This window comes from Homo sapiens, chromosome 17 (genome assembly GCF_000001405.40).
Source record: "Homo sapiens chromosome 17, GRCh38.p14 Primary Assembly".
In the NCBI taxonomy this organism is placed as follows: Eukaryota; Metazoa; Chordata; class Mammalia; order Primates; family Hominidae; genus Homo; species Homo sapiens.
The window spans coordinates 81,663,310-81,683,998 of record NC_000017.11 but is presented as its reverse complement, the minus strand read 5'-3'; the positions used below and the strand labels follow the sequence as shown (position 1 = coordinate 81,683,998).

The 20,689-nt window shown below is 55.7% G+C and overlaps 3 protein-coding genes across 16 annotated transcripts, besides 10 other annotated features; 2 read left to right on the top strand and 1 right to left on the bottom strand.

Moving 5' to 3' along the window:
• Positions 6–300: an enhancer, noted in NCBI's record as "tiled region #13823; HepG2 Activating DNase unmatched - State 1:Tss, and K562 Activating DNase unmatched - State 1:Tss". NCBI's record gives its function as "activates a minimal TATA promoter and a strong SV40 promoter by Sharpr-MPRA in HepG2 and K562 cells {active_cell/tissue: HepG2 | K562}" and the evidence as "EXISTENCE:reporter gene assay evidence [ECO:0000049][PMID:27701403]".
• Positions 68–127: a silencer, noted in NCBI's record as "silent region_9144". NCBI's record gives its function as "represses an Ori minimal core promoter by ATAC-STARR-seq in GM12878 lymphoblastoid cells {active_cell/tissue: GM12878}" and the evidence as "EXISTENCE:reporter gene assay evidence [ECO:0000049][PMID:35858748]".
• On the top strand, positions 202–2,834 carry ARL16 (ARF like GTPase 16). Of its 6 annotated transcripts, NR_138058.2 has the most exons (6): positions 202–306; positions 405–463; positions 873–986; positions 1,324–1,508; positions 1,850–1,965; positions 2,120–2,812. NR_138058.2 is itself a non-coding variant. In NM_001040025.3 (5 exons), the coding sequence occupies exons 1-5, from the start codon at positions 246–248 to the stop codon at positions 2,289–2,291; spliced, it is 522 nt and encodes a 173-aa protein (NP_001035114.2). In that variant the 5' UTR covers positions 202–245; the 3' UTR covers positions 2,292–2,812. The 6 variants fall into 6 exon arrangements, 3 of the variants coding, with proteins under 3 accessions (NP_001035114.2, NP_001316537.1, NP_001316538.1); NM_001040025.3 differs by lacking the exon at positions 1,324–1,508; NM_001329608.2 differs by having other exon boundaries at positions 1,324–1,965.
• Positions 338–417: a silencer, noted in NCBI's record as "silent region_9143". NCBI's record gives its function as "represses an Ori minimal core promoter by ATAC-STARR-seq in GM12878 lymphoblastoid cells {active_cell/tissue: GM12878}" and the evidence as "EXISTENCE:reporter gene assay evidence [ECO:0000049][PMID:35858748]".
• Positions 518–737: an enhancer, noted in NCBI's record as "active region_12976". NCBI's record gives its function as "activates an Ori minimal core promoter by ATAC-STARR-seq in GM12878 lymphoblastoid cells {active_cell/tissue: GM12878}" and the evidence as "EXISTENCE:reporter gene assay evidence [ECO:0000049][PMID:35858748]".
• On the bottom strand, positions 10,100–17,262 carry CCDC137 (coiled-coil domain containing 137). Of its 2 annotated transcripts, none has more exons than XM_047435910.1 (6): positions 16,992–17,262; positions 16,137–16,270; positions 13,546–13,774; positions 12,173–12,255; positions 11,844–11,923; positions 10,100–11,504 (listed from the first exon to the last, which is right to left on the bottom strand). In XM_047435910.1, the coding sequence occupies exons 2-6, from the start codon at positions 16,192–16,194 to the stop codon at positions 11,295–11,297; spliced, it is 660 nt and encodes a 219-aa protein (XP_047291866.1). In that variant the 5' UTR covers positions 16,195–16,270; positions 16,992–17,262; the 3' UTR covers positions 10,100–11,294. The 2 variants fall into 2 exon arrangements, with proteins under 2 accessions (XP_047291866.1, NP_954981.1); NM_199287.3 differs by having other exon boundaries at positions 17,099–17,262.
• Positions 16,355–17,276: an enhancer, noted in NCBI's record as "H3K27ac-H3K4me1 hESC enhancer chr17:79633753-79634674 (GRCh37/hg19 assembly coordinates)". NCBI's record gives its function as "activates a minimal SCP1, AML or CMV promoter by ChIP-STARR-seq in naive H9 embryonic stem cells {active_cell/tissue: H9 hESC(naive)}" and the evidence as "EXISTENCE:reporter gene assay evidence [ECO:0000049][PMID:30033119]".
• Positions 17,029–17,178: a silencer, noted in NCBI's record as "silent region_9142". NCBI's record gives its function as "represses an Ori minimal core promoter by ATAC-STARR-seq in GM12878 lymphoblastoid cells {active_cell/tissue: GM12878}" and the evidence as "EXISTENCE:reporter gene assay evidence [ECO:0000049][PMID:35858748]".
• Positions 17,277–18,198: an enhancer, noted in NCBI's record as "H3K27ac-H3K4me1 hESC enhancer chr17:79632831-79633752 (GRCh37/hg19 assembly coordinates)". NCBI's record gives its function as "activates a minimal SCP1, AML or CMV promoter by ChIP-STARR-seq in naive H9 embryonic stem cells {active_cell/tissue: H9 hESC(naive)}" and the evidence as "EXISTENCE:reporter gene assay evidence [ECO:0000049][PMID:30033119]".
• Positions 17,379–17,698: a silencer, noted in NCBI's record as "silent region_9141". NCBI's record gives its function as "represses an Ori minimal core promoter by ATAC-STARR-seq in GM12878 lymphoblastoid cells {active_cell/tissue: GM12878}" and the evidence as "EXISTENCE:reporter gene assay evidence [ECO:0000049][PMID:35858748]".
• Positions 17,394–18,963, top strand: OXLD1 (oxidoreductase like domain containing 1). Of its 8 annotated transcripts, none has more exons than NR_130936.2 (2): positions 17,394–17,844; positions 18,415–18,963. NR_130936.2 is itself a non-coding variant. In NM_001039842.3 (2 exons), exons 1-2 carry the CDS (start codon positions 17,422–17,424, stop codon positions 18,796–18,798), a joined length of 444 nt encoding a protein of 147 aa, NP_001034931.1. In that variant the 5' UTR covers positions 17,394–17,421; the 3' UTR covers positions 18,799–18,963. The 8 variants fall into 8 exon arrangements, 4 of the variants coding, with proteins under 4 accessions (NP_001034931.1, NP_001291924.1, NP_001291923.1 ...); NR_130937.2 differs by having other exon boundaries at positions 17,394–17,849; NR_130938.2 differs by having other exon boundaries at positions 17,394–17,853.
• Positions 18,359–18,468: an enhancer, noted in NCBI's record as "active region_12975". NCBI's record gives its function as "activates an Ori minimal core promoter by ATAC-STARR-seq in GM12878 lymphoblastoid cells {active_cell/tissue: GM12878}" and the evidence as "EXISTENCE:reporter gene assay evidence [ECO:0000049][PMID:35858748]".
• Positions 19,884–20,518: an enhancer, noted in NCBI's record as "H3K27ac-H3K4me1 hESC enhancer chr17:79630511-79631145 (GRCh37/hg19 assembly coordinates)". NCBI's record gives its function as "activates a minimal SCP1, AML or CMV promoter by ChIP-STARR-seq in primed H9 embryonic stem cells {active_cell/tissue: H9 hESC(primed)}" and the evidence as "EXISTENCE:reporter gene assay evidence [ECO:0000049][PMID:30033119]".

Genomic DNA, 20,689 nt, shown 5'->3' with positions numbered 1-20,689 from the left:
CCGCTTCCGCCTTTTCCCTCCAGTGCGCGCACGCGCACGTCACCGCGCCGGCCCTAGAGCCGCGAGGAGGCGGGGTCTTCCGCTCTCCCGCTAACGCTGCGCGCTAATTGGACGCGCCCTTGGAACAATGAGCCCTAAGAACCAATGAGAAGTCCGAAGGTGAGAACTATCCAATGAGAGTGGCCGGTGGGCGGGCCTTGAGCCGCGGCGCCGAGCTACGGGTGCCGGGTGGAGCGAAGCACGGAATGTGTCTCCTGCTGGGGGCCACGGGCGTCGGGAAGACGCTGCTGGTGAAACGGCTGCAGGATATCCTTCCGCGCGGGGACGGGACCGGGGCGCGGGGGGCACCCGGAGTGGGGCGGGGACTCACCCTTTAGCTGCTCGGGTCCTTGACCGCTTCGCACAGGTGAGCTCCCGGGATGGGAAAGGCGACCTGGGGGAGCCGCCCCCGACACGGCCCACGGTAGGTGTCCGCCCCCGCGGGTGGAGTTGCGGGGGGTCAGTTCTGCGCTTGGCGAAGAGCTCCGGGCTCCTCTAAGTGCACGCCGAGGCGCAGCGGGTCAGGTCGTGACTTAAGGCCAGCCTTCGGGAGCGGGGGACGGCCCGAGCTGAGGATAATTGGCGCGGGATGAGGGGGCCTGCCGCCCTCCACGGGCACTTCCTCTCCCCTCGCAACGGCTTCCTGTGGCTGGTCGCCCCCACAGCGAGTCCAGCTACTGATGGGCGTCGGTCCCTGCTCGCCGTTCCTGCGTTAGGGAGAATGGGTCTGCGGGGTTCAGGCCACCGTGTAAGGTGTGGGCACGGTGCTCTTCAGGAGTTCACAACGGGACAGCGGTTGTATTGTTCTTTTTGCATCGTGGTTTTTCCTATAGGTGGGCACCAATCTTACTGACATCGTGGCACAGAGAAAGATCACCATCCGGGAGCTTGGGGGGTGCATGGGCCCCATCTGGTCCAGTTACTATGGAAACTGCCGTTCTCTCCTGGTGGGTTGTAATCCTATATGGGCTTCCTTTAGGGAAGTGTGTCTACATTTCTGTGACGTCCAGTCCCCAACCTTGCTGTGTGTAGAAAGGGGTTTGGGTTATTTAGTGACTATACTACTCATGGAAATAGGTCTTAGCTAGTGTTGCTTCCTGCTGGGCACCCTGTCTGGTTTCTGGTGCTTGCGCTCCCAGGCCCCCGGTAGGAGCTCACAGAGGGCTTGCTGAGGGCAGGGCTGCTGCTCCGCAGAGAACAGACTTGGCCCTCTGTGTCACTCCCCGGTACGTCTGTGTTTATGTTGGACTTATACGTACCTCTGGTTGGTCTCATCTTGATAAGGCCTGTGCCGCGGATACCAGTATGGAGAACTGATGGCCACATGAGGACAGAGACGAGTGACACCAGGTCGTCTTCATAAAACTCGATTCCCTCTGCTTCTGCTTGTTCCCAAAGCTTTGTTTAAAGCTACTTTGGGCCGGGCGCGGTGGCTTACTCCTGTAATCCCAGCACTTTGGGAAGCTGAGGTGGGCGAATCACGAGGTCAGGAGATGGAGACCATCCTGACTAACATGGTGAAACCCCGTCTCTACTAAAAGTACAAAAAATTAGCCAGGCGTGGTGGCGGGTGTCTGTAGTCCCAGTTACTTGGGAGGCTGAGGCAGGAGAATCACTTGAACCCTGAACCCTGGAGGCGGAGTTTCAGTGAGCCGAGATCGTGCCACTGCACTCGGAGCGAGACTTCGTCTCAAAAAATAAATTAATTAATTAAAAAATGCAGTTTTGCTCTCCCAGTGCCAGGTCTGTGAGGCCCAGGGGAGGAAGTTTGGCAGCGGGGCATTGCTGCTGTCTTTTTCTTTTTCCCCAGTTTGTGATGGACGCCTCTGACCCCACCCAGCTCTCTGCATCCTGTGTGCAGCTCTTAGGTCTCCTTTCTGCAGAACAACTTGCAGAAGCATCGGTGCTGATACTCTTCAATAAAATGTACGCGTCCCTGAGCTGAGAGGGAGCACAGCGGGGGCGGGGGCTCCCTCGGGTTACAGCCGGAAGCATGGCTCGGTAGGGAGGTGGTGCAGCTGGGGGTCCGGGGCAGGTGTGTGGCTGCCACTGCTCTGATGGGGCACCTCTTTCTCTCCAGCGACCTACCCTGTTACATGTCCACGGAGGAGATGAAGTCATTAATCAGGCTTCCAGACATCATTGCTTGTGCCAAGCAGAACATCACCACGGCAGAAATCAGCGCCCGTGAAGGCACTGGCTTAGCAGGGGTGCTGGCCTGGCTCCAGGCCACCCACAGAGCCAACGATTGACTGCACGGCAGAGGCGCAGCTGGCCTGAGCTGGGGAGAGGTGGCAGAGGGCAGTATGGCTTTGCTGCCAATAGTTTCTTCTCACAGGGGCAGAATAACCCAAAGTAACCCTACATGATGGGGCTCTGTGCTGAGATGCAATGATGTGTAAACTGAGGCATGTGGAGATGGAAGTTGACATCTGGCCTCTGAAAAAAGTGTCCCCAGGGGCTAGGCATGGTGGCTCACACCTGTAATCCCAGCACTTTGAGAGGCCGAGGCGGGTGTATCACCTGAGGTCGGGAGTTCGAGACTAGCCTGACCAACATGGAGAAACCCTGTCTCTACTAAAAATACAAAATTAGCTGGGTGTGCTGGTGCATGCCTGTAATCTCAGCTACTTGGGAGGCTGAGACAGGAGAATCCCTTGAACCTGGGAGGTGGAGGTTGCAGTGAGTCGAGATCATGCCATTGCACTGCACCTGGGCAACAAGAGTGAAACTCCGTCTTAAAAAATATAAGAAATAAAAAAATAAAAACCTGTCCCCAGACTGGATGAGCAGGGCCTGCAGATGGCCGAGTGTTCTGTATCTTAGAGTGGTGCTATTGGGGTTGGCTCACCTCCTTCCTGGAGACCTGCTGGACTGCCCCCAAGGCGTATGGACTGCACAGTGCCACTGAAACCTGGCCTCTTGCTGTAGCACAACCTCCAACCTGCTGAGCCGCTGGTACCCTGACCCTGCATCTGCCACAGACGGCATGAGGCAGGTGAAGTGAGTGTGGTAGTAAGAGCCAGGCCTCGAGTTAGAAACAAGCTGGTGGCCGGACGCAGTGGCTCACGCCTGTAATCCCAGCACTTTGGGAGGCTGAGGCAGGCAGATCACCAGATCAGGAGTTCGAGACCAGACTGGCCAACATGGTGAAACCCTGTCACTACTAAAAATACAAAAAATTAGCTGGGCGTGGTGGCTTATGCCTGTAATCCCAGCTACTCGGGAGGCTGAGGCAGGAGAATCGCTTGAACCTAGAAGGCAGAGGTTGCAGTGAGCTGAGATCGCGCCATTGCACTCCAGCGTGGGTGACGAGCAAAACTCGGTCTCAAAAAAAAAAAAAAAAACAAGAGCCAGCATTCTCACTGGTTCACTTGTTCAGTGAACAGGTATTGCCGTGAAACGCCCCACAGGTGTGCCAGGTGGGGCTCAGATGAAGCACAGGAAATGGTGGCCGTGCCTCCCATGGTTCCCCAGTGCCCTTCCTTGACTTTGGTTCTCAGCCATGGCCACTTGTGGGAGTGTTGATTGACGGGTCAGTGTCCTGCAGCTGCCAAAACAACACAAATTTGCTCTCTTAGTTCCGGAGGCCAGAGTCCAAAGCTGGGCTTTCACCAGGGTAGTTTCCTTCTGGAGGCTCCGAAGGAGCATCCGTGCCTTGCCTGCGTAGTGGCTGCGGTGCTCCTCGGCGCCCCTGGGCTGTGGCCTGCAAAGCCTGTTTCCACCTCCACCTTCACGCAGCTTCTCTCCTGTGCCTCTGTGTTCTCTTACAAGGACATCTGTCGTTGAAAATCCAGGATGATTCCTCATTACATCTGCAAATGCCCTATTTTCCAAACAAGGTCACTCTTGCTTGTTCCAGGGGTTATAATTTGGACACACCTTTTAGGGGCCGTCATTTGACTACAACAATTGAATAAGAAACCCTATAGTCCTGAGAATAGATGTGAATTTTCTACAGATGTTTTCCCAGCTGGCAGCCTAGGCTCCTTCGGTCATGGAAGGAGCCTCGCACCCACCACCCTCCTCCGTGGCACAAACCTGCTGCACTTTGCTTGTGGGGAAATGGGTCTTTATTCCTGTGGAGGGCTATGTGCGATGCCTGGGAAAAGCTCGCAGCACGGCGTGTGCTTCAGGGTGGCTCGGGCTCCAGTCTCTGCTTTCCAGTGTGTCATGGGCTCTCAACTGTACACAGCCTGTGCCCTGTTGGATGCCACCTTTTTTTTTTTTTTTTTTGAGACAGAGTCTCACTCTCGCCCAGGCTGGAGTGTAGTGGTGCAATCTCGGCGACTCACTGCAACCTCTGCCACCCAGGTTCAAGCAATTCTCCTGCCTCAGCCTCCTGAGTAGCTGGGATTACAGGCGCCTGCCACCGCACCCGGCTAAATTTTGTATTTTTAGTAGAGATGGTTTCATCATCTTGGCCAGGCTGGTCTTGAACTCCTGACCTCGTGATCACCTGCCTTGGCCTCCCAAAGTGCTGGGATGACAGGCATGAGCCACTGCGCCTGGCCTGGATGCCACCTTCTTAGACACCACATGAATCCCCACTGCGCCTGGCCTGGATGCCACCTTCTTAGACACCACATGAATCCCCATGCACTGCTCCCCCTGCCTCTTACCACCACCAAACAGCTACTAGACACCTGAGGTGTCTGTCCTGTTAGTACCATGGGGCGGAAAGATACAATACCTTTTTTCACCCATAAGGGTGACAGCCAACACACCTAACAAACTACAGGTGAGCAAGAGAAAAGCATTAACAAATTTACTTAATTATTTGAGGCAAGCTCTCACTCTGTCTCCGAGACTGGAGCACAGTGGTGGGATCACAGCTCACTGCAGCCTCAACCTCCCAAGCTCAGTCAATCCTCCCACCTCAGCCTCCTGGGTAGCTGGGATTACAGGCATGCACCACCACGCCTAGCTAATTTTTTGTATTTTTGGTAGAAACGGGGTCTTGCTGTGTTGCCTAGGCTGGTCTTGAACTCCTTGCCTCAATTGATCCTTCTGCTTCAGCCCCCCAAAATGCTGGGATTACAGACATGAGCCACCATGCCCGGCCTAAAAGCATAGCAAATGTATTAGTTTTACATGACAGCCGGGCACGATTGCTCACACCTGTAATCCTAACACTTTGGGCGGCCAAGGTGGGCAGATCGCTTGAGGCCAGAAGTTTGAGACCAGCCTGAGCAACATGGTGAAACCCCTTCTCGACTAAAAATACAAAAATTAACCCGTCATGGTGTTGCCTGCCTGTAATCCCAGCTACTTGGGAGGTTGAGGCAGGAGACTCGCTTCAACCCAGAAGGTGGAGGTTGCAGTGAGCTGAGATCATGCACTGCACTCCAGCCTGGGTGACAGATTGAGACTCCATCTAAAAAAAAATAAGTAAAGTTTTACATGACGCAGGAGCCTTCAGCAATAAAGACCCAGGGAAAACCTTTATTAATTATTTATTTTTGAGATGGGAGTCTCGATCTGTCACCCAGGCTGGAGTGTAGTGGCACAATCTTTGCTCACTGTAACCTCTGCCTCCCAGGTTCAAGCGATTCTGCTGCCTCAGCCTCCCGAGTAGCTGGGATTACATGTGTGTGCCACCACGCCCAGCTAATTTTAGTATTTTTAGTACAGACAGGGTTTCACCATGTTGGCCAAGCTGGTCATGAAGTCTTGACCTCAGGTGATGCGCCCACCTCGGCCTCCCAAAGTGCTGAGATTACAGGCGTGAGACACCGTGCCCGGCGTGAAAACCTTTATTCTTATATTTAGGTTTGACGAGTGAACAGGCATGCAGAAATGTGGTTGGACACACAGGCTCTGGCCTAACGTCCGTCTAACTGGTGATGGACACAGTGGGGAAACCCAGCAAGGCCACTGTGCACAATTCCCCTTCCCCTGAGGATAGGGCAGGACCCCTCGGGAATGAGGGTCTTCCAGGGAGGAGGGAGTGACCTTGCTAGGTTTTATGGCTGGCTTTGGGAGAGAGGAGTTCTAGTTTCTATGACCTGCTGTGAGAAAAAGAATTGTGGTTTCTGGGACTCACTTTGCGGCAGAAAAGTAGGCAGGAACCAGGAGGGAAGGACAAAGACCTGGCTTCTGAGGCCTTCCAGTCTCCTCTGGGTCAGAGTAGTCTGCATGCCAAGGTGCCATACTTTGGGGTTTAATGAGCCCTGACAGCAGGTCCTTGCAGATTTCACAGGCAACTTGTGATCCCAGTAATTGGGTTTCAGTCCCCCAATTTCAGAGGACTTTAGCAAAGCCTGGTTGAAATGGCCAAGTGTCGGCCGGGCACGGTGGCTCACGCCTATAATCCCAGCACTTTTGGAGGCCGAGGCAGGCAGATCACGAGTTCAGGAGATCGAGACCTGGCCAACACGGTGAAACCCTGTCTCTACTAAAAATACAAAAACATTAGCTGGGCGTGGTGGCAGGCGCCTGTAGTCCCAGCTACTCGGGAGGCTGAGGCAGGAGAATGGCGTGAACCTGGGAGGTGGAGCTTGCGGTGAACCGAGATGGTGCCACTGCACTCCAGCCTGGGCTACAGAGCGAGACTCCGTCTCAGAAAAAAAAAAAGAAAAGAAATACCCACCGTGACTTTTGCTGTGAGGCATGAAAATATAAGGAGGTAGGAGCCTGAGGTGCCTGTGGCCACCCGGCTGGAGGTGGGTGGGCCGCGCTTGTCAGCTTGCTTGGCGGAACGTTCCTTTAGTTGGGAGGGAGTGCCTTTCCTGAAGCAATCCTTGGGCTGGACATGCTGATCCTGAATGAGTCCTAAGAGTACGCGTTTCCCAATACCCGGAGAAAACAGCAAGCCTGTGTTCCCAGCCAGCGCTGGTGGCAGCTGGGTTCCAGGCAGGTGGAGCCGACGTGGTCTGGAGCTGGCAGCCACACTCTGGCACCTCCTCAGGCGGTTTTCAAGGGTGGGTTCCAGCCAGGGAGCCCTATGCAGGCGTGGCATGGTGCCACGGGAGGACGGTCTCGGGGTGGGTGGATAAGGACCCTCCTTGCCTGCTCCTGACAGGCCGTGTGCTGCAGGCCACTTTCAATAACCCACGTTCTCAAAACCATCAGGTCCCCACTTCGCTGGCACACAGTGTCAATTGGGGTGTCCTGCAGGGTGGGTGAGGGGTGCTGGGGACTCCCCTGGCCTTGTCACCCAGACCCCCACCCAACCTTAGGGTCCCTGCACTCAGCGGCTGTTCTGGGGTGTAGGGACCAGCCCCACAGGGTCGGTGGGTCTCTCCCCATGTGCAGAGATGAGAGAGTGTAGAAATAGAGACACAAGACAGAGATGAAAGACAGCTGGGCCTGGGGGACCACTACCACCAAGTTGTGGAGACCGGTAGCGGCCCCGAATGCCAGGCTGCACTGATATTATTGGATACAAGACAAAGGGGCAGTGTAAGGAATGTGAGCCGTCTCCAATGATAGGTAAGGTCACGTGGGTCACGTGTCCACTGGACAGGGGGCCCTTCCCTGCCTGGCAGCCAAGGCAGAGAGAGAGAGAGGAGAAGGAGAGAAACAGCTTACATTATTATTTCTGCTTATCAGAGACTTTTAGTACTTTCACTAATTTGCTACTGCTAACTAAACGGCAGAGCCAGGTGTACAGGATGGAACGTGAAGGCGGACTAGGAGCGTGACCACTGAAGCACAGCATCACAGGGAGACGGTTAGGCCTCCGGATAACTGCGGGCGAGCCTGACTGATGTCAGGCCCTCCACAGGAGGTGGAGGAGTAGAGTCTTCTCTAAACTCCCCTGGGGAAAGGGAGACTCTTTCCCGGTCCGCTAAGTAGCGGGTGTTTTTCCTTGACACTAACGCTACCGCTAGACCACGGTCCGCTTGTCAACAGGCGTCTTCCCAGATGCTGGCGTTACCGCTAGACCAAGGAGCCCTCTGGTGGCCCTGTCTGGGCATAACAGAAGGCTCGCACTCTTGTCTTCTGGTCACACCTCACTCACTATGTCCCCTCAGCTCCTATCTCTGTATGGCCTAGCTTTTCCTAGGTTATGATTATAGAGCGAGGATTATTATAATATTGGAATAAAGAGTAATTGCTATAAACTAATGATTCATGATTCATATATAATCATATCTAAGATCTATGTCTGGTATAACTATTCTTATATTTTATTATACTGGAACAGCTCGTGTCCTCAGTCTCTTGCCTTGGCACCCGGGTGGCTTGCCGCCCACATGGGGCCAGGCATGCTGGACCCCCCTCAGTGCACATGCCAGAGCCCAATTCTCTCCTGAGTCTGGGGAAATTGATGCTGCTGAGGACACCACTGTTCTCAGAGTCGTCTCTGCTCGTGGACTCTTCTCAGCGCAGATGTAGCACCTGGATAGGAATTTTTTTTCTTTTCTGTTTTAGAGATGGGGGTCTTGCTCTGTTACAGCCCAGGCTGGAGTGCAGAGGCACAATCACAGCTCACAGGCCCAGACGGTGCAGCGGCCAGGCAGAGGTACTCCTCACTTCCCAGACGGTGGGGCGGCCTTGACCTCTCAGGTTTGAGTGAACCTCCCATTTCAGCGTCCCGAGTAGCTGGGACCACAGGCATGGTGCCACCACAGCTGGCCTGAATTTTCTTTAACAGTTTGGAGTTCCCATCAAACTAAACGCTAATCAAAGGATAGCATTATACGGTATGTGAAATTATAACATTAATTTTTTTCTTCAAAAAAAATCACATCAATAAATGTGTGATAGGTTGGCTGGGAGAAAATCTGGCTAGTCTGGGAAAATTCTTTGTAGGAAAGTTGACAACTAGGGTGCTGCGAGACCTGTGTGTACAAGTAGGTGACCCATCTGGGATCACTGGTTTTGTCAGCACCCCGATTTTGTGCAAATTCAGTTTTCCCTTTATATGGAGAGAACAGCACTGCCCCATGGAGAGCGGAAGGCCCAGGGAGGTCCATCCATGGCCTTCGCCTCTTAAACATTGACCCTGACATGCCCACATCACCTCCTCCTGAAGATTCCAGAAGTAAAGGATAAGTAAGAAAAGCAGGACGGCACTTTGGGAGGCAGAGGCGGGCGGCTCACCTGAGGTCAAGAGTTTGAGACCAGCCTGACCAACATGGAGAAACCCCGTGTCTACTAAAAAATACCAAATTAGCCAGGCATGGTAGTGCATGCCTGTAATCCCAGCTACTTGGGAGGCTGAGACAGGAGAATCGCTTGAACCTGGGAGGCAGAGGTTGTGGTGAGCCAAGATTGTGCCATTGCACTCCAGCCTGGGCAACGAAAGCAAAACTCCATCTCAAAAAAAAAAAAAGTAGGAGGGGTGAGCTGGTCTCTCCTGGAACCCCAGCACTGAGGGAAGCCAAGGCAGGCTAATCTTGAGCCCAAGACTTGGAGACCAGCGTGCCACTGCACTCCTGCCAAGGTGACAGCAAGACCCTGCCTCAGAAAAAAAAAAAAAATGCCAAGTACAGTGGCTCACGCCTGTAACCCCAGCACTTTGGGAGGCCAAAGCAGGCGGATCCCTTGAGTCCATAAGTTCGACACCAGCCTGCGCAACGTGGCGAAACCCCATCTATACAAAAAGCACAAAAAATTATTTGGGTGTGTTGGTGAGCACCTGTTGTCCCAAGTACTTGGGAGGCTGAGGTGGGAGGATTGCCTGAGCCCAACAACTTGCTGCAGTGTGCTTATGCCACTGCACCCCAGCCTGGGCAACAAAGAGGCCCTAAAAACCACCAGGGGTTTCCCTTCCAGCAGCTAAAACCTGAGAATCATGGATGCAGTGGAGAGCATGAGCGCTTTCCCAGCCCTGTGGGATCCCTTTGCTTAGCCATACACGGGCCGATCTGACACCCAAAACCAAAGGCATTGAGCGAGTGGGAGTGCCACCCGCTGCCGTCCCAGCCCTTTCCCAGGGAAAGGCCACCCCCTTCCAGCTGCTGCTTGTGATCTGGGGCTGAGTTCTGGCTGCTGCAAAAACAACATCCCAACGCGAGGGCTGGGGCCGCCAGGTCCATCACAAGGTGGGAAACATGCCCATAAGAGGAAAACAGCCCTGACTTTAAATATATATTCTCCAATTTAAAACTTTTAACTAAAAAGTAAACTTTAATGTCGAAAGTGCAAACTTGGGGAAGGCAGAAAACATCACACACAAGGCTGTCACTTCACACTTGGAAGGTTGCACAGCGGCCGGGCAGAGGCGCTCCTCACTTGCCAGACGGGGTGGCGGCCAGGCAGAGGTGCTCCTCACTTTCCACACGGTGTGGGGGCCGGGCAGAGGTGCTTCTCAGTTCCCAGATGGTGCTGGGCTGTCGGACTCCATTGCTGGATGTGTGACTTGGGTTTAAGCTTCTCCCTTCTGCTCTCATCTGGAAATGCTGACAGCCTGGGCATTTCCTCCTTTGGCACTGGAGACTGAAGCCTGGCAAGGCCCTGCCCTCAGCAGGAACTCCCCCTGGGCCCCACTCTGTGACCTTGAGCCCAAGACAGGATTTTTCCTTTACCTTCTTCCAGCCACTTTGGGCCTCCCGGCTCTCTCAGAGCCCTGTTAGGTAGGTGACAACTCTGTTCCCACTGTTTTTTTTTTCTTCGTGTATTTTTAGTAGAGATGCAGTTTCACCATGTTGGCCAGGCTGGTTCGAACTCCTGACCTCAGGTGATCCACTCGCCTCAGCTGCCCAAAGTGCTGGCATTACAGGTGTGAGCCACCGCGCCCGGCCCCCGGTTCCCACCTTCTTAAGTGTATGTGTTGTCATCATGTTTCACCCCAACCAAACCTTGGGTGGGCAGCCTCTGTAGGGGACCACTCACAGCTGGCCTGTAGTCACGGTCCCCTGCAGAGCCCTGTCCCGATGCGTCGTCCCTGCCCGTGGCCTGCTCTGCCTGATGTGCACTGTACGCTCGGCTCTGCTGACTCCCGGGGGCCTCCGTCACACACTGAGCCAGCCTCATCAGCTGTCTCGGTATTTGGTGTTCAGGGACAGGGATCCAGCCCTTCCTAAGGTCCACCTGGGCTGAGACTCAGAATGGACGTTCAAAACAAAGAGATGGAGCTGTGAGTGACACCGGGCCCCACGGGCCGTCTGTCAACCAGGCCTTGGCCCTAGTCCATCGGGCACTCACCCCCTGCAAGATGTGGACCCACTAGTGCCCAACGTGTGAACAAGTAGCTGGAGGCCTCACCCCACACTGCTGGCATGGCCTGCCTCTCTCCTACCCAGGTGTAGCAGCTCCTGGTGCCAGTTGCCCCAGAGCGTGGCCAGGCCCCGGGTGTCTCTCCATCACAGCTGCGGCTCTGGCTTCTTCCGGGAAGTGAGGTGGGGTCGCTCCCCGTGCAGCTGCTGCTGCCGCTGCTTCAACGCTCTGTAGGCCTGCACGGCCCGCTCTCTCTCCTCCTCCACAATCCGCTGGCGGGCCAGGGAGGCGGTCAGAGGCTGGGACACACCACCGGGGCTCAGAAGCATCCGCAGCATCTGCGATCTCCTGCCAGGCTGAGGGAGAGAGGGGAGGGTGAGGCACAGGCTGGGAAAGGAGGGGATGCAACAGAAAGCCTCACAGCTTCAACAGCTCTCCCGCCAGCGAGAACACTGCACTCTCAGGCCACACACCAGACAGCGCACACGTTGGCTGAGGGTTTTTTTTTTTCTTGACACAGGATCTCGCTATGTTGTCCAGGCTGGTATCAACTCCTGGGCTCAAGCAATCCGCCTGCCTTGGCCTCCCAATGTGCTGGGATTACAGGTGTGACCCACCGTGTCCAGCCTGTCCAAGGCTTCTGTTCCCTGGCAGCACTGGGGGACAAACTCAAGTTGTCCCCGTGCCCCACTTACCTGGTCCTTGCTTACGCTCCTCTGGGGCCTGGCAGTCAGCTCTGGGGGCTGCAGGACAACCTCACCAAACTTCACCGTGTCTGGAGGAGCAGAATACAACTGAGGACTGCTGCCCACAGCCACTGCACCCCTGACACCCAGAGCCACCACCCGCCCACCTCCCTCCCATAGGGCTGGGACAGAACACCAACTCATCCAGTGGTCTAATGGCTGTGGACCCCAGGGGAAACCACAGGTGCCCAGTGCAGCCAGGGCTGGTGGGGAACAGAAGGCCTGCGCCCAGGCCCCACCCGGACCACTGCTGACACCATCGCTTTGGGAAGAGCTACCTCGGAGCAACTCCTGCTCCAGCCTGTCTGCCGCCTTTTCCTCCTTTTTCCGTCGGACTTTATCTAGTCGCCGCTTCTGGAACCTGGGGAAGAAAGCACATGTCACTCAGATTCCTAAATTCTCTTTCCACCCAGGGAGGAGGCAGAGGCCGCCCCACCCACAAGGGATCCCCTGTGGCAGAGCAGGGACCCAAGAACAGGTGGCTGCCTCCAAGTCCCCGCTCCCCTTACCACCCCAAAACCCACAGCTGCCCACCAAAGAAGGCTCTGACCCCAACAGGCCCCTCACAGGTCCCCCAGTGGTTCTCAGCTGGGGACAGCTACCTGCCAGGGAACATCTGACAATGTGTGCAGACACGTGGGCAAGGGCTACTGGCACCTTGTGCACGAAGGCTGGGAAGGCTGCCAAAGACCACCCAACAGAGACTCATCCAGCCCATCCGGTGCTGCTGTGTCTAAAGGGCCTAACAAGCATTGTATATCACGTCTCCCTCAATGTGAATCTGGAAGCTTCACCTTCAGCGACAGCTCTGGAGATCACCGTGGCGCCAGGCTGTATCTGGGCCACGTTCTCTGTGATGAACTTTCACTGGCTAAGGTAACTATAAGTAATACAACAATCCAGAAACAGGGAATCTACAGAGCTGAAAGCAACCTCTCAAACCTTCAAAGCTTTTTTTTTTTTTTCTTTTTTTTGAGATGGAGTCTCGCTCTGTCACCAGGCTGGAGTGCAGCGGCACGATCTCAGCTCACTGCAACCTCTGCCTCCCGGATTCAAGCGATTCCACTGCCTCAGGCTCCCAAGTATCTGGAATTACAGGCATGCACCACCACGCCCGGCTAATTTTTTTTTTTGTATTTTATTAGAGACAAGGTTTCACCGTGTTGGCTAGGATGGTCTCGATCTCCTGACCTCGTGATCCACCTGCCTCAGCCTCCCAAAGTGCTGGGATTACAGGCGTGAGCCACTGTACTCGGCCAAAGCTTTTAGAGAATTAGGAAGGTGTAGTCTCTTGGACGAGAGACATTCTGTTCTAATGGAAACAGAACCCCTGGGCACGTCACCCTCAGACCGACCCCCTCAGGGCTGATTCCCACAGGGCTAGGGCTTTCTGGTGCTTTTCCTGTGAAAGCAAGGACCAAGCGAGGTCTCCGCAGAGTTCCCAGGTTCCGCAGCCTCCTGGAGGCCACACCCTCACTGGCTCCCAGCTGGATGCTCCGACTCGCCAACTCCCAGGGCTCTGGCTTGGTCTCCCTGAATCCAGGCTGCCCCATGGCTATGAAACAGGGTACCTGCAGAGGGCCGTCATGGGAACCCAATGTCTTCCCTCCGGCTCCCAGGGCAGACCCCTCCCCCTCCCGCCTCCACTCACGCTTTTTTTGCTTTTTTCTGCTCAGACTTCTCCTTGGGAGCTGCCTGCACCTCTGGCTGCCGGATGGCCTGGTTCTTGCTGAGGAACAGCACATGCTGGGCCTCTTGCTGCATGCGGTGGATATAGGCCCCGTCAGACTCCCCCTTCCTCTGTTTGAACTTGGGGACTGCGATGTCGGGCTCCTCTCCCTTTGCTTCCTTCTCCAATGTCTTTCTGAAGGTCACCTGGGCTGAGGACAAAGGGAGGCCTCAGAGGAGGCAGGAGGCAGACAGTGGCAGGCAGGTGACCCATGCTCATTTCCCCTCCCAAAGCCACAGGAAGGGAAGACCAGGCTGGCTGGAAGCACCCCAACGACAGCAGCTGAAGAGGATGTAGAATGCCCGGCCCGGCATCCCCGGGGACGTGACCCCCCAGCCCAATGGCACCTGTCACAGATGTCCACTGCAGCACAGCTGAAAAAGGAAAGCAGAAACAACCTAATGTCCACCCCTAGGTGGCTGGTTGAATGAATTCTCCTCTGATCACCCACAGACTCCATTGCACAGCTGCCGAAAGAAGCCCAGTGGAGCTACACAGAGAAACGTGGGCAGACCTGCCGGGCGCGGTGGCTCATGCCTGTAATCCCAGCACTTTGGGAGGCCAAGATGGGCAGATCACAAGGTCAGGAGATTCAGACCATCCTGGCTAACACGGTGAAACCCTGTCTCTACTAAAAACACAGAAAAAATTAACTGGGCATGGTGGTGGGCGCCTGTAGTCCCAACTACTCGGGAGGCTGAGGCAGGAGAATGGCGTGAACCCGGGAGGCGGAGCTTGCAGTGAGCCGAGATTGCGCCACTGCACTCCAGCCTGGGCGACTGAGCGAGACTCCATCTCAAAAAAGAAACGTGGGCAGACCTATGACATCCACTGAGAACGCAAGCGCAGGACCCCGGGCGAGTGTAGAACACAGGAGGCGGACAGTGCCAGGCAGGTGGTTGTGTTCATAAATATGTGAAGACATGCATATTGCCAGGCATGGTGGTTCACACCTGTAATCCCAGCACTTTGGGAGGCTGAGGTGGGCGGATCACCTGAGGCCAGAGTTCGAAACCAGACTGGCCAACATGGCAAAACCCAGCCTTTACTAAAAATACAAAAACGAGCCGGGCATGGTGGCACAGGCCTGTAATCCCAGCTACTGGGGGGGCTGAGGCACAAGACTTGCTTGAACCTGGAAGGTGGAGGTTGCAGTGAGCCGATATTCTGTCTCCAAAAAAAAAAAGGCCAGGCACAGTGGCTCACACCTGTAATCCCAGCACTTTGGGAGGCTGAGGTGGGGAAATCACTTGAGGTCAGGAGTTCAAAACCAGCCTGGCCAACATGGTGAAACCTCGTCTCTACTAACAATACAAAAATTAGCTGGGCTTGGTGGCGTGTGCCTGTAATCTCAGCTACTCGGGAGGCTGAGGCAGGAGAATTGCTTGCACTGGAACTGGGACAGGGGAGGCAGAGGTAGCAGTGAGCTGAGATTGTGCCACTGCACTCTAGCCTGGGCTAGAGGGAGACTGTCTCAAAAAAAAAAAAAAAAACCACACACAAAAAATTAGCTGGGTATGGTGGTGCGTTACCTGTAATCCCAGCTACTCAGGCGGCTGAGGCAGGAGAACTGCTTAAACCCAGGAGGTGGAGGTTGCAGTGAGCCCAGATCACGCCACTGCACTCCAGCCTGGGCGAGGAAGCAAGACTCCATCTCAATAAATAAATAAATAAACAAACAAACAAAGGTGCCAATTCAATGCAGCACGGTTCAGAACGTGCCATGTGCTACCCAGGCCAGTGCGCCTCCTCCCTGCACCTTCCTCACCTCTATCTCACTATCCCTTTGGCAGCCATATAACCCCCAACAAGAAGCCTACAGTTTATACACAAATTATAAAACAGCTTTGCTGTAAAACCAGTGCCACGTTTGGGAAGAGAAATGTGTCTATAAGCAAAATATACACACAGTGGACTCCGTTTCCCAACATGCCCAGAGTGTTACCTCTGGGTTGCAGCGGTGGACATGTGGACACCCTACCCAGACTTGGGGGAGGAAGGCAAGACTTCTCAGAGGGGCCTGATGGAATTTCCTCCTTCAGCTCCTGACTCCACCCACTTCTCTCTACCATTGCTTCAGCACTCTTGTCCCAAGAATCATGGCTTCTCCCTGGCAGTAGCCCCGCCAGTTGCCAGGTCCACTCTCCCTCACTCCATCATCGCTCGGTGACCCTTTTTTTGCTTAGAGTAAACATGAATTGGCCGTGCCCTGCTAAAAACTCTGATGAATCTTCGCTACTTTTGGGGAGAAAAAAACGCCGCTCCTTAGCATGGATCCTGAGGCCCCATAACGGGTCCTCCCCGCCCACCCCACAGCCTCCTTCCAAGCCTCGTCTGGAACCACAGCGCCACCAGCTGCCAGCCACTGCTTTAGCTTTGGCCACGCTCCCCCACCTTCTGAGCACCGGGTCTTGGCATATTTCCTCTGCCTGAAACGTTCTGAAGTATTTGGGCGATTGGGCGGGTTGAGACACACAAAGCTTCACTGCCGCCCAGTATGGGCCTGCACACACCTGCTTTCTTCCTCTTCTTGTTACTGATCGGGTTTTTCATCTCTTGGCGGCTCCTCATAATCTCCCGGAGCCGGAAAGGAATCTCCTGTTCGTCCTGGTTCTTGGGCTTGCAGTTCACTTTCTTCTTCTCTTTGCTGGGAGAAAGAACACGGGGGTGAGACCCGTCCCAAGTAAAGCACAAGCAGAATCAGTAAGAGAAACAATAGTTGGGTCTGGCAATAGAATCTACACGGGCTGGCCGGGCTTGGTGGCTCACGCCTGTAATCCCTGCACTTTGGGAGGCCGAGATGGGCGGATCACGAGGTCAGGAGATCGAGACCATCCTGACTAACACAGTGAAACCCCGTCTCTACTAAAAATACAAAAAATTTGCCGGGCGTGGTGGCGGGCGCCTGTAGTCCCAGCTACTCGGGAGGCTGAGGCAGGAGAATGGCGTGAACCCGGGAGGCGGAGCTTGCAGTGAGCCGAGATCGCGCCACTGCACTCCACACTCCAGCCTGGGCGACAGAGTGAGACTCCGTCTCAAAAAAAAAAAAAAAAAAAGAATCTATCTATACAGGGGCCACATCTGGCTTCTGTGGTGCGAGCCGGTCCAGCAGTCCAGGGAGCAGGGATCTTTCCTCTCGGTCTCACTCAGTGGCTGTCCCTGAACCCCTTCCTCACGGGACGCGAGGCCGAAAGGCACTCCGAAAGCCCAGGAGGCCTTTCCGCCCTGACCTCGTCCAGAACCACAAAGACGGGACACTGGGACGCGGGAAAGGCAAAACCAAGGACTCGCTCGCGCCTCCATTCATTCAACCGATCCTGGCGGAGCGTGGGCCGCGGGCACAGACAGAGGAGGGCACTGAGCCCGACCTGGGGAAGGGGTCCGAGCGAACGCTCCCTAGGGGGTCCCGGGCGGAGCCTTCAAGGCGTCCCCTTCTCTGGGGAAGTGTGGCGGCCTCGCGGGGCAGCGCAGTCACCTGCGAAGCCCGGGCCACGGGGCTGGGCGCTGCTTCCCCAGCGGCTGCACTTGCTGCCGCCCCCGCGCTCGCCGGGGACTCCCAGGACCCGCCTGCACCCTGGACACCGCTGCTCCGCGACCAGCTCCCGCCATCTCCACGCCGGGAGGCTCCCTAGCGAAGCCACTTCCGCCTTCCTGCATGGTTCCGCCCCACCGATCGGCACTTCCGCTTCCTGCGCTCAGCCTCACGCTGGCTGGAGCGGCGCGACTTCCTGAAGGTCCGGGATTGGCCGGAGCGCCCGCCGCTCACGGTCAGGGGTTGCCGGATCCCGTCCGCGGGCGATGCTGCTGCGGAGGGTGGTCGAGGGAGGCCGGGCGGTAGCCGCCGCGGTCCGTGGCTCGGCAAGTACCAGGACGGGTCTTGGCAGCGCCGAAGGGCACGTCCGAGAGGCCGCTGTCCGGGGGCCCGCACGTACCGGGAGGAGCCCCGGCCCCTCCACCCGCATGTGGGGACGGAGCCGGGAGGATCGCGCGCTGGCCGCCGCCGAAGGACCCCTCGCTCCTCTCCTCCATCGGCTCTTACCGAGTCCCCGCCCCGGAATCTGTGGAGGGGCCGCTTAGCCTTGGGAGAGGAAGCAGCCCGGTGAACGGCCACTTTCCTGTTTCTCAGTATCTGCCGAGCGCCTGTGTGCGAGCCCTCCTGGGCTCTGGGGACTGGCCGTGGACATGGAGCGGATGATGCCCCTCGCAGGACTAGTTAAATAAGTGAAGTTGGTAGCGTGTCAGTCCGTGATCCTGGGTAGATAGAGCAGGGCAGCGACGGAAGACTGCCTATAGGACATTCACGCTGGGATGAGAGGGGCCTGAGAGGCCTGGGCTTTGTGACAGGGAAACTTGGATAAAGGGTGGTGCGATTCTTCCGGTTGGTCCCTCAGAGGTGGTGGGGCTTGGTTATACTGGTAGAGGTGCTGGGCTGGCCAGGAGCTTACAGGGTTACACCTCTCGCATACTGGTGTCCACAGAGCAGCCATCTTAGCTGGAGGTGTCGAGTGCCTCCCCCACCCCCCACCATGTGCTTGAGTGCACACCCGGCGCCAGGCCCTGATCCTGGCACTTCTTGTGAATCACACCGTGTCATACCCATGACTTCCATTGCACAGTGGGGAAACTGAGTCTAGAGAGGTGAAATAACATGTCTAAAGTCACAGGAAGTGAAAAAGCTGAGGACATGGAGCCAGTTGCCCAATGACAGGAGAGCTGAAATGTCCTCACTGCTGGGGGTAGACCGGGCCTCACCAGCTTCCTGGAGAGTCACATGTTTGTCTGCATCCTCAGGGGGCTCGCCGGTTCTCCAGCCCGGACTGCTGCCAGAGGCTTCCTGGAGGTGGCAGCTTTCTTCAAAGGCACCATCCCGGAGCGCAAGCCCCTGATGGGCGCAGAAAATTCGGGACAGACCACGTAGAGGTGGGCTCCCAAGCAGGTGCGGACGGCACCAGGCCGCCCAAGGCATCGCTGCCACCTGAGCTCCAGCCGCCCACAAACTGCTGCATGAGTGGCTGCCCCAACTGCGTGTGGGTGGAGTACGCGGACAGGCTGCTGCAGCACTTCCAGGACGGTGGGGAGCGGGCCCTGGCTGCCCTGGAGGAGCACGTGGCTGATGAGAACCTCAAGGCCTTCCTCAGGATGGAGATCCGGCTGCACACCAGGTGCGGAGGCTGAGCCATCCCTGCTGGACTCCCTACCGCAGGACGGAGTCCAGGACGCAGCCGCAGCCTCCTTCCTTCACACCCCCTCACAGACTCCTTGTGTCCAACGGGAATAGGAAGAATTAGTTACTGACTTCACCTGAGAAAAAAATAAATTCTCTATGGTGGTTTCACAGGAGGTTTTTGTTTTGGGGGTGGTTTTTTTGGCAGTATGTCTGCCAACCAGAATGGCTGCTGATTTGGCCTCAACAGGAGGCTTTTGTGTGGTTGTCCGTAAGGCTTGTGTTGCATCTTCAAAGCGAGCAGGTCCAGGTCGGCATTATGCACCTCCGGAGCTCTTGCAGCCATCACCCTGCCATGAGGGTAAAATAAGACCCCCAGCCGAGTGTGGTGAAAATAAGACCCCCAGCCGGGTGTGGTGGCTCACACCTGTAATCCCAGCACTTTGGGAGGCTGAGGCGGGCAGATCATGAGGTCAGGAGATGGAGACCAGCCTGACCAACATGGTGAAATCCCATCTTTACTAAAAATACAAAAATTAGCCAGGTGTGGTGGCAGGCGCCTGTAATCCCAGCTACTCAGGAAGCTGAGGAACCCAGGAGGCAGAGGTTGCAGTGAGCTGAGGTCATGCCACTGCACTCCAGCCTAGGTGACGAGAGTGAAACTCTGACTCAATAAATAGGACCCCTTTTCGTTGAACAGTCAAATGACAGTGACCCCAGTGCCCCTTCCAGGCCAGGTCCCACCTTCCCCCAAGTCCTGGCAAAGGCCTGCTCTGGTTGCTCTCAGCGTGCAGCAGAGGGAAGGCCATCTGATCTCATTGAGTCACTGTGGCAAAGCCTTTGGCAGGCACAGAAGCCCACAGGCAGCCTGGAAGTGCCCATCTGTCCAGCTGCCATCAATCCCTGGCAGGGGTCCTCGGGTGCCCTTCCACCAGCCTGGCAGGGGCTGCAGATCAGCCCTCAGTGGCCCAAGCACTACCTGGAACCAGTCCTTCCAGCTCCTTCAGCCGCAGCTCCCAGGGGAGTTGGTAAGAGCAGCAGGACGTGGCCAGGCGTGGTGACTCACGCCTGTAATCCCAGCATTTTGGGAGGCCTAGGTGGGTGGATCACCTGAGATCAGGAGTTTGAGACCAGCCTGGCCAAACGTGGGGAAACCCCTTCTCTACTGAAATTACAGTAATTAGCTGGGCACGGTGGCGGGTGCCTATAATCCCACCTACTCAGGAGGCTGAGGCAGGAGAATTGCTGGAACCTAGAGGTGGAGGTTGCGGTGAGCTGAGATGGCACCACTGCACTCCAGTCTGGGCGACAGCAAGCAAGACTCCATCTCAAAAAAAAAAATACTAAAGTTAGTGGGGCATGGTGGCACACAACTGTAGTCCCAGATACTCGAGAGGCTGAGGCAGAATTGCTTGAACCTGGGAGGCAGAGGTTGCAGTCAGCTGAGATTATGCCACTACACTGCAGCCTGGGTGACAGAGCAAGACTCTATCTCAAAAAGAAAAAAAAAAAAAACCGGCCAGGCGCGGTGGCTCACGCCTGTAAAGCCAGCACTTTGGGAGGCCAAGGCGGGCTGATCATGAGGTCAGGAGATTGAGACCATCCTGGCTAACATGGTGAAACCCTGTCTCTACTAAAAATACAAAAATTAGCTGGGCGTGGTGGCAGGCGCCTGTAGTCCCAGCTACTCAGGAGGCTGAGGCAGAAGAATGGCGTGAAGCCGAGAGGCGGAGCTTGCAGTGAGCTGAGATCACGCCACTGCACTCCAGCCTGGGTGACAGAGCGAGACTCCGCCTAAAAAAAAAAAAAAATTAGCAAGGCTGACATGCCTAAGTTTAGCAATCCTGAAAATGTGGATTATTCCATAAGAAATCTAAGAAAACAAGGAAAGAAAACAGTTCT

Bases quoted from the DNA above. Each gene is read 5' to 3' on its own strand.
- ARL16 (NM_001040025.3), top strand. From the start codon at position 246: ATGTGTCTCCTGCTGGGGGCCACGGGCGTCGGGAAGACGCTGCTGGTG. The intron at 307-404 runs ATATCCTTCCGC...ACCGCTTCGCAC, and splicing joins GCTGGTGAAACGGCTGCAGG to AGGTGAGCTCCCGGGATGGG. The intron at 1,966-2,119 runs GTACGCGTCCCT...CTTTCTCTCCAG, and splicing joins CTGATACTCTTCAATAAAAT to CGACCTACCCTGTTACATGT.
- CCDC137 (NM_199287.3), bottom strand. From the start codon at position 17,232: ATGGCGGGAGCTGGTCGCGGAGCAGCGGTGTCCAGGGTGCAGGCGGGT. The intron at 16,271-17,098 runs GTGACTGCGCTG...TCTTTCTCCCAG, and splicing joins CCGTGGCCCGGGCTTCGCAG to CAAAGAGAAGAAGAAAGTGA. The intron at 11,505-11,843 runs GTAAGTGGGGCA...TCTCTCCCTCAG, and splicing joins GGAGCGTAAGCAAGGACCAG to CCTGGCAGGAGATCGCAGAT.
- OXLD1 (NM_001039842.3), top strand. From the start codon at position 17,422: ATGCTGCTGCGGAGGGTGGTCGAGGGAGGCCGGGCGGTAGCCGCCGCG. The intron at 17,482-18,414 runs GCAAGTACCAGG...CTGCATCCTCAG, and splicing joins CCGCCGCGGTCCGTGGCTCG to GGGGCTCGCCGGTTCTCCAG.